The sequence below is a fragment of the Homo sapiens genome, chromosome X, assembly GCF_000001405.40.
Source record: "Homo sapiens chromosome X, GRCh38.p14 Primary Assembly".
Classification (NCBI taxonomy): Eukaryota; Metazoa; Chordata; class Mammalia; order Primates; family Hominidae; genus Homo; species Homo sapiens.
Window position 1 is genome coordinate 28,063,502 of NC_000023.11, and position 10,628 is coordinate 28,074,129.

At 35.9% G+C, this 10,628-nt stretch overlaps 1 long non-coding RNA gene across 1 annotated transcript; it reads left to right on the forward strand.

Moving 5' to 3' along the window:
- Positions 1-2,363: 2,363 nt before the first annotated feature.
- Positions 2,364-9,686, forward strand: LOC105373152 (uncharacterized). Its single transcript, XR_950540.2, has 3 exons — positions 2,364-2,562; positions 4,315-4,416; positions 9,621-9,686. It is a non-coding gene; the product is annotated as an uncharacterized LOC105373152 (long non-coding RNA).
- Positions 9,687-10,628: the final 942 nt, after the last annotated feature.

Sequence of the window (10,628 nt, forward strand, 5' to 3'; positions counted from 1 at the left end):
ACAATTTATAAGTTTTCAAGATTAGTGATAATGTGAACATCCATTTATTCATTCATATTTGAAAAAAATAAAACATTACACTTAAATTTGTAATCTAATTTACAAATTAAATTAGATTTGTAGGGAAGTCCCTCCTACCATTTCCTTCTGTTTAGCTTCATAGGCAAACACTAACATGAATTTAATATTTGTCATATCTCGCCTTTTCATAGAGGTTTAACATACATATTGAATTCCCAATACATATTGTTTAAGTTTGCATGTTTGGAGTCTCTATATAAATTGAATCACAATTCTCTATGAATCCATAACATTTATTTTTTCTTCCTGTCATTTCCTTCAGCAAAATCATTTATGTTTTCATAATCTTTACATTCACATAATTTGTCTCTGATAACCTTAAGCCAAAGGATTAAAAATAATATTTAAATATAATTGCATTCATAGTATACAAAATTTTATTTACTTGCTGTAAAATTAATTACATTTTTTAAATACAAAAATAAAATTGTCTTCACATGTTTTTAAGTAAGTATTTTATTATAGAAGTCAAAATTGTGTATCAAATTTAAAAAACATAATACAATTACTAATGGGTGTCAAAGTATTAAACTCAAAATTATTTAAAAAGTGATGAATTTTTAAATTTTTTTCAAAACTTAAATTATAACAAATACTTTATACAAATAAAACTATTCACAGTTACAGAGTTTAGTGGTTTAATGTTCATGTGTTTGCCAAAAGAAAGGATTGGGTGATGATTCATGCATGTTACATCTATACTAGTGGTTCTAAATTTGGGGTTGGGGGGCAGGGGTTGCTGCCCAGGAGATGTTTGGCAATGTCTGGAGATATTATTTTTTGTTTTTACAACTTGCGGGTGATGCTACTGGCACCTAATGAGTTCAAGCCAGGGATGCTGCTAAACATCCTACAATCCACAGGATAGCCCCTCTAAGCAAATCTTTGACCTAAAATGTCAGTAGAGTCAAGGTTGAGAAATCCTGACCGAGACCTAGATATATTCCTGGCACATAGCTGTCATCCAGGGATCTTTTCTCACCATCATCTTCAATAGTCCCGCTGCCTGTTTTGTGTTTTGGATCTCCAGTTTACTTTGTCCTCAAGTTTTCCGTTTTTTTATTTGTTTGTTTTTTTCTTGATTACTCATTATTTTTAATGGAGCACATGCTCCACTGGGATGCCAAGAAAGAAGGGATGTTTTGTAAAAACTCTTCCAACTGAGTACCCAAGACACTGTTTCCTATCTGTTTTTTATGGCTCTCACCTGCTCATCCTGTACATCTTAGCTTAAGTGCATACTTTTTCTCTGCGGATTTAGTAAGCTTACACTTGCTATGTCCTTTTATAGTGCTCAGTACCTTTCCTGGATAGCATTACATTATATATTTATCTATTTAATTGTTTTTTCAATATTTTTCTTCCCTGATAGACCATAAACTTCATAATAGCAAGGCTCATCTCAGCTTTATTATCCGCAATGTCTATCACAGGGGCTGGCACATTGTATTCAGTAGTTATTGCTCCACTGAATTAATGAGTAAATAATTTGGTGTAATAGTAATGGTACTAGAAGGCTTCCAAATAAAAAGTTGCAAGTTTTTAATATCCAGTATTCTAATAGTACTTGATATTTATATCAATGTGTTATTATTCTCTCGTAAAACTATAAATATGTCTTCATCTGGCATTCCTTAGATACTTGCCATTATTAACACAGTTTATGAATATTTTATATAATAATACAATTCCTCAAATTGACATTAGGCTTATAAAGGACATCCATATAAATATAAATTGATCAGTTTGTTTGTTACAGGCTTACACACTGCTGGCTGGATTCTCCTGAAACAGACCAAGTCGGAGTTTGAGGGGCAAGATGCTTATTAGAAATTAATACCTGTGAAAGGAAAGGGGAGAGATGGGCGCAGTGGCTCATGCTTGTAATCCTAGCACTTTGAGACTGAGTGGGTGGATTACTTGATGTCAGGAGTTCGAGACCAGCCTGGTCAACATGGTGAAACTTCGTCTCTACTACAAATACAAAAATTAGCCAGGCATGGTGGCGCATGCCTGTAATCCCAGCTACTTGGGTGGCTGAGGCCAGAGAATCGCTTGAACCCAGGAGATGGAGGCTGCAGTGAGCCAAGATCGTGCCACTGCACTCCAGCTTGGGGAACAGAGTGAGACTGTCTCAAAAAAAAAAAAAAGAAAAAAAGAAAGAAAAGGGAAAAGGGAGAAGGCAGGGCTGGACAGAAAGAAGCTATCTGCAAACGCTGGGCTGATAAAAGCGTTGGCCAAACCAGCCAGGGCTTCTGGAACGAGATGCCCATCAGAATGTCCCACTCTGTCTGAAATGGCAGGGCCTTTACACCCATGCCTGATTCAGTCACCAGATACAGGCTGCTCTGAGAAGAGAATGGTCCTCTGACAAGGCAGCTCCCAGCAGCTAAGGCTGACCCTGAAGGAGCCGCCAGATGGAGGCAGCCTGCTGACCACACGCCCCACAGCTGGAGAGCAAGACCTTCCTATGCTTACCATGTAAGTTCAGCATTCTGAGTACTTGTGAGTTTTGACTCATTTTGTCCACAAAGCAACCGTATTCAACTATTCAACAAGAACCACTAGTAAGTGGCAGAGTTGAGATTCACACCGAGTAAGTTTGGCCTCAGAGTTCACACTCTTCATCACTCTGCTATTCTGTCTCCCTCCATTGTTCAGTAGAGAACTTCATGCACAATATGAACAAATTGACTACCTTTCTCTCTCTCTCTCTGTCTCTCTGTCTCTCTCTCTCTCACTAATGCATATATACATGAGAGAATGTGCAGTTTGAGCTTGTATGGTAAACTAAAATTATGTTAATCCTCAAAAGTATCATTTTTGTCTTTGCCTAGATCCATTTTCTTTGATTGACCATGCAATCAACTTGTTCTCTTACTCAAGTGGTCTCCTCTATTCCAAGCCAGTCTATTCTAACCTGGTTACTTCCTGGCTTTTGAGCCAATCTGTTAAAGCAGAAATTTCCTCCACTTATAAATCCTCAATGCCCCAGAGTTTCTTGGAGTCTCAAGGAAGTTTCTCACATCTTCTCATAAAAATGTGTGTTGTTCTACTATATAGTGCCCACGATGTATTTCTGTTCTCTTTTGTCCTTCTGTCCTCTACCGTGTATCAGTGTATCCATGAGGAATGGCCATGTCTGTCACGTATCTTAGCCTCCAAAAATGCACTACTGCTGTGTTTTCAGCTTCAAATGAAGAGATGGGAGAGTGGATAATACTTGGAATTGCCCCTCTCCCCTGACAACTATGAAGTTGTTACGGATCAAGTGACTTGTCTGGTTCTCACCTCCCTCAGGCTGAGTTCTCTTTTAGAGTCCAGTCCCAGATCCTAATCCACATAGCTATCTGTTGTTCCATGCATACCAGTATCCTAACATTGGTGGCTATAATAATGTTCAAACTATATGTTTTAGGCTACATTTCCTGGAAATTAATTCTGAGATGGAGTTTTGCTGGCAGGATATTGACTGGTGACTGCCCTCAGGGTCGAAATCTGTGATAGAGTGAGCATAGCCTCAAGGAGTAGAGGGATATGTTAAACTGCAGTAAAGAGAAGCCTGGTTACCCTTGGAGGGCTGGGGAGCTGGAATGGCTCTTCAGTGTTTAGTGTATTCAGCTAAAAGATGCAAGTGGGCTGGGTCTTTTACTCCTGGATACATCAGTCATTGGATGCTCTGTCTATAACCTTAGGTGAGGCATTTCCCCTTTGTCTGAGGATGATTCTTTGGGGGAGTCTCTGCTATAAGCTGTCATCAGGTAATAGTCCCAACAGCAGGGGGAATGATTGCCTTAGTCCTGACTCAGTCTTGCAGGGAACATCTGAGTGGCACCTCACAACATGGCCTTAAAATACTCCCTATTGTATTTCTTTGGTTCTGGATATTTTTTCTCTGTGCTCCTACACACACACACACACACACACACACACACACACACACACACACACACACACACGATGCTTTTGCTATTAGGACGCTAATGCCCTTACACACACACACACACACACACACACACACACACACACACGATGCTTTTGCTATTAGGACGCTAATGCCCTTAACCCTTTTACTCTGCCTGTCCTGAGTATGGTGTTTTTCATTTACAAAGTTTACAAAACATTCCGGCTTCAGGCAAATAAAAATATTATCTTCTGAGATGAGTGTTATCTGGAAGACATGTGTAACTCACATGTGCTCTTCCTGCATGATGGATTCCTTTCTTTCAATAGAGCTGGGACAGGATGCTTAATAGCCAAAGGCTGCCTCACCGAAGCCACTGAATGTGAGAAACACAACTCCCAACAGAAAGAATTCTAAATAAGCTTTTTTTGGTGAGTATTTCTGAGAATAATCATCTACTCCCCATTGTCCTATTTCTGCCCCTTGTCTCTCATTCTGTTCCTCAGTGCTGTAGATCTCTGACAAGTGTTAGGGCAATGAAGAAATCAAACACATAGACTTTAAGAAGGTAACAGCTTATGCACCTCTTCTAAATATTTGCATATGAAAACATGAAACCCTTCGGTGAATTTTGGGGCTGTGAGGCAACAATGAATGAAGGCTTTCTATACATTAGATTGTAAGAAGGAGGATGCCATTCCCAATGCCCCTTAAAAGACACAATGTAGGTAAATTCTGATTCCCATACACGATTGACCTGCTAACTTTGTAAATTTTTTTTATTTTTAACTTTTGTGGGTACATATCACGTCTATATACTTATGGGGTACATGAGATATTTTGGTATGGGCATGCAATGCATAATAATCACATCCTAGAAAATGCAATATCCGTTCCCTCCAGCATTCGTCCTTTGAGTCACAAAAAATCCAATTATACTCTTTTAATTATTTTTAAATATGCAATTAAATTATTATTGACTATAGTTCCCCTGTTGTGCTGTCAAATACTAGGTCTTACTCATTCTTTCTATTTTTTTTGTACCCAGTAACCATCCCACCTTCCCCGCCCTGTACCCCCACTGCCATTCCCAGCCTATTGTAACCATCCTTCTACTTTCTATTTCCCTGAGTTCAATTGTTTTGATTTTTAGATCCCATAAACAAGTGAGAATGTGTGATGTTTGTCTTTCTGTGCTGGCCTTATTTTACTTAACATCAGGACCTCCAATTCCATCCATGTTGCTGCAAATGAAAAGATATCATTATTTGTTATGGCTGAATAGTACTCCATTGTTTATAAATACCACATTTTATTTATCCATTTATCTGTTGGTGGACACTTAGGTTAATTCCAAATCTTGGCTATTGTGAACAGTGCTGCAACAAACATAGAGTGCAGACCTCATTTTGATATACTGATTTCCTTTTTTTGGGTATATATCCAGCAGTGGGATGGCTTGGTCATATACTAGCTCTATTTTCGTTTTTCTGAGGGTCCTCCTAACTGTTCTCCATAGTGGTCGTATTGATTTACATTCCCACAGTGTACAAGTGTTCTCTTTTCTCCACATCCTCACCAGAATTCTTTATTTCCTGTCTTTTGGATAAAAGCCATTTTAACTGGGGTGAGGTGATTCCTCATTATAGCTTTGATTTGCGTTTCTCTGATGATCAATGATGCTGAGCACCTTTTCATACGCCTGTTTGCCATTTGTGTGTCTTCTTTTGAGGAATGTCTATTCAAATTGTTTGCTTATTTTTGATTGGATTAATAGAATTTTTTCTATAAAGTTGTTTGAGCTCTGTATATATTCTCATTATTAACCCTTTGTCAGATGGATAGTTTGCAAATATTTTCTTACATTCTGTGAGTTATCTCTTCACTTTGTTGATTGTTTCCTTGGCTGTGTGAAGCTTTTTAACTTGATGTGATCCCATTTGTCCATTTTGCTTTGGTTGCCTGTGCTCTTGTGATATTACTCAAGAAATTTTTGCACAGACCAAAGTCCTGGAGAGCTTCCCTGATGTTTTCTTGTAGTAGTTTCATAATTTCAGGTTATATATTTAAGTATTTAATCTATTTTTATTTGAATTTTGTATATGGTGAGAGATAGGGGTCTAGTTTCATTCTTCTGCATCTGGATATCTAGTTTTCCCAGCAACATTTATTGAAGAGACTATCTTTTCCCCAGTGTATGTTCTTGGTACCTTTGTCAAAAATGAGTTCACTGTAGGCGTGTGGATTTGTTTATACATTCTCTATTCTGTTCCACTGGTCTGTGTCTGTTTTTAAGCGTGTACCATGCTGTTTTGCTGTAGTATAAGTTGAACTCAGGTAATGTGATTCCTCCAGTTTTGTTTTTTTTTTCCTCAGGATAGCTTTGGCTATTCTGGGCCTTTTGTAACTCCATAGAAATCTTAGGATTGTTTTTTCTATTTCTGTGAAGAATGTCATTGGTATTTTGATAAGGATTGCATTGAATCTGTAGATTTCTTTGGATAGTATGGACATTTTAACAATATTGATCTTCTAATTTATGAATGTTGAATATATTTCCTTGTTTTGATTCCTCTTCAATTGCTTTCATCAGTATTTTATAGTTTTCATTGCAGGGATGTTTCACTTCTTTGGTTACATTAATTCCTAGGTATTTAAATTTATTTGTGGTTATTGTAAATGGGATAACTTTTTTATTTTTTTCGCATTGTTCACTGTTAGCATATATCAACCCTACTAATTTTTGTATGTTGATTTTGCATCCTGCAACTTTACTGAATTTGTTTATTAATTCTAATAGTTTTCTTGTGGAATATTTAGGTTTCTCCAAATGTAAGAGCATATCATCTGCAAACAGGGATAGTTTTACTTCTTCCTTTCTAATTTGGATGCCCTTTATATCTTTCTCTTGTCAGATTGCTCTAGCTAAGACTTCTCATACCAGGTTAAATAACAGTGGTGAAAGTGGGCATCCTTCTCATGCTCCAGATCTTAGAGTAAAGGATTTAAGTTTTCCCCCACTCAGTATGATATTAGCTTTTAATCTGTCATATATGCCTTTTATTATGTTGAGATATGTTCCTTATATACCTAGGTTTTTGAGGGGTTTTATCATGAAGGGATGTTGAATTTTATTAAATGCTTTTGCAGCATCAATTGAAATGATCATATGGTTTTTGTGCTTCATTCTGTTGATACAATGTATCACATTGATTGATTTGTATATTTTGAACCATTCTTGCATCCCAGAGATAAATCCCACTTGGACATGATCAATTGTCTTTTAATGGATTGTTGAATTCGATTTGCTACTATTTTGTTGACCATTTTTGCATCAATATTTATTAGAAATATTAGCCTGTAGTTTTCTCTTTTTTTGATGTGTCTTTGTCTGGTTTTAATATCCAGGTAATACTAGGCTCATAGAATGAATTTGGAAGTATTCCCTTCTCCTCTGTTATTAAGAACAATTTGAGTAGGATTGGTATTAGTTCTTAAATTCAGCAGTGAAGATATCAGGTCCCGGGCTTTTCTTTACTGGGAGACTTTTATTACAGCTTCAGTCTCTTTACTTGTTAGTGGTCTGTTAATGTCTTGGATTTCTTCATGGTTCAGTCTTGGTAGGTTATATGTATCTAGGAATTTATCCATTTCTTCTAGATATTCCAATTTATTGGCATATAGTTGCTCATAATTTCCACTAATGATCCTTTGAATTTCTGTAATATCAGTTGTAATATCTTACTTTTCATCTCTGACGAAAAAAATTGAAGTCAATGCAAAAAAGGAAAGATATTCTATGTTCATGTATTGAAAGAATCAATATTGTAAAAATGTCTATACTATCCAAAGCAACCAACAGAATCAATGCAATTCCTATCAATATACCAATGATATTCTTCACAGAAATAGAAAAAATATATAAAATTTATTTGGAACCACAAAAGGCCCAGAATAGACAAAGCTGTCCTGAGCAAAAAGAACAAAATTGGAAGCATTGCATTACCTGACTTTAAATTATACTACAAAGCTCTAGTAAACAAAACAGCATGCTATTGACATAAAAACAGACATATGGACCAGTGGGACCGAATAGAGAACCCAGAAGTAACCCACGCATTTAGTCAACTCATCTTTGACAAATGCACCCAGAACATACATTGGAGAAAGGACAGTCTCTTCAATAAATGGTATTGGGAAAACTGGATATCCATATACAGAAGAATAAAACTAGACCTGTATCTCTCACCATATACAAAAATCAAATAAAACCGGATTAAAAACTTAAATCTAAAACCTGAAACTATGAAACTGCTAGAAGAAAACTTTGGGAAAACACTCCAGGACATTAGTGTGGTAATGATTTCTTGAGTAAGATCTCAAAAGCACAGGCAACAAAAGCAAAAATGGACAAATGGGGTCACATCAGCCTACAAAGTTTCTGCACACCAAGGGAAGCAATTAATAGAGTGAAGAGACAATCTACAAAATAGAAGAAAAAGTTGCAAAGTATCAAACTGACAAGAGATTAATAACCAGAATATATAAGGAACTGAAACAACTTAGTAGCAAAAAATCAAATAATCCAATTAAAAATGGGCAGAAACTCTGAATACACATTACTCAAAAGAAGACATACAAATGGGCATTAAGTGTATGAAAAAAGGCTCAACGTCACTAATAATCAGGGAAATGCAAGTCAAAACTACAATGAGATAGCATCTTACTCCAGTTAGAAAGGCTTTTTTCTGAAAGACAGGCAATAACAGATGCTGGCGATGATGTGGAGAGATGGGAACCCTTGTACACTGTTGGTGGGAATGTAAATTAGTATAGCCACTATGGAAAACAGTAAGGAGATTCCTCTAAAAACTAAAAATAGAACTACCATATGATCCAAGAATCCCATTGGGTATATACCCAAAGGAAAATAAAGTCAGTGTATCTAAGAGATATCTGCACTCCCATGTTCGTTGCAGCATTATTCACAATAGCCAAGATATGGAATCAACCTAAATGTCCTTCAATGAATGATTAGATAAAGAAGATGTGGTAAAGAAGACATATACACAATGGAATAATATTCAGTTATATAAAAGAAGGAAATACTGTCATTTGCAACAATACAGATAGAACCGGAGGACAAAATGTTAAGTGAAATAAGCCAAGCACAGAAAGATAATGTTGCATGTTCTCACTCATATGTGGAAGCTAAAACAACTGAACTCCTGGAGATGGAAAGTAGAATGATGGCTACTAGAAGCTAGAAAGAGGGGAGAGTGGTGTGTGGGAATAAAGAGTGAGTGGTATATTGGTACAAAAATATACCTAGATAGAAGGAATAAGATCTAGTGTTTGGTAGCACAATGGAGTGACGATATTTAACAATAATTTGTTGTGTATTTTAAAATAACTGCAGAAGTAGATACGAAATGTTCCCCAAACAAAGTAATGATAAATTTTTGAGGTGATGGATATCCTAACAAACCAGATTTGGTCGTCACACACTATATTCTTATATTAAAATATCACACATATCCCATAAATATGTGTAACTATTATGTATCCATAAAAATTAAAAGAAAAAAATAAAAATTTAAAAAAGAACCTACTCTCATCTAGTTGTTTATTTTAGTTCTAGGAAAATCGTGAGGAAGAGGACCAAATAAATGTCTTTTGGACAATACAACAATAGGAAGAGGTAAATTAACCCTGTTTGGTTTATTAGTTATGGAACTGCTCATCACTGTACAAGTGATTTTTCATGTAAGTTTAAAATTATTTAGTAAGCAGATGATTTTCTTTAGCTTCAATATATATGTTAAAAGTGTTTGCAGACAACCTGAGATTCCTCTTTATTTATAACTATTTGCAAATTGCAGCCAACTGCAAGTTAAAGATTAATATATCGAAGTCACACTTCTTTGTTTATCTAGGAACTATAGGTTATGGCATGCAACTTAACCCTGTGATGTTCAAGTTTTTTAAAAAAATATTTTTTAATTATTATGGATATGAAATAGGTGTATATATTTACTGGATATATGTGATATTTTGATATAGGTGTACAATGTGCAATAACCAAATCAGAGTAATTGGGATATCCATCACCTTAAGCATTTGACATTTATTTGTTTTAGGAACATTCTAATTCCACTGTTTTGGTTATTTTAAAATACACAAGTTGTTGTTGACTATAGTCACCCCGCTGTGCTATGAAATACTAGATCTTATTCATTCTTTCTAACTATATTTTTGTACAAATTAACCATCCCCACTTCCTCCCCACCCTTCCCAGTCTCTGGTAACCATCATTCTACTCTCTGTCTCCATGAATTCAGTTGTTTTAATTTTTAGTTCCCACAAATGAGTGAAACCATGTGAAGTGTGTCTAGCTTATTTCACTCAACATAATGTCCTCCAGTTCCATTCATGTTGTTGCAAATGACAAGATTCCCTTCTTTTATGGCTGAATAACATTCCATTTTGTATATGTACCATATTTTCTTATCCAGTCCAATGTTGGTGGATACTTAGTTTGACTTCCAATCTTGGCTATTATGAGTAGTGCTGCAATAAATATGGGAGTGCAGATATCTCTTTGATATACTGATTTTCTTCCTTTGGATATATACCTAGCAGA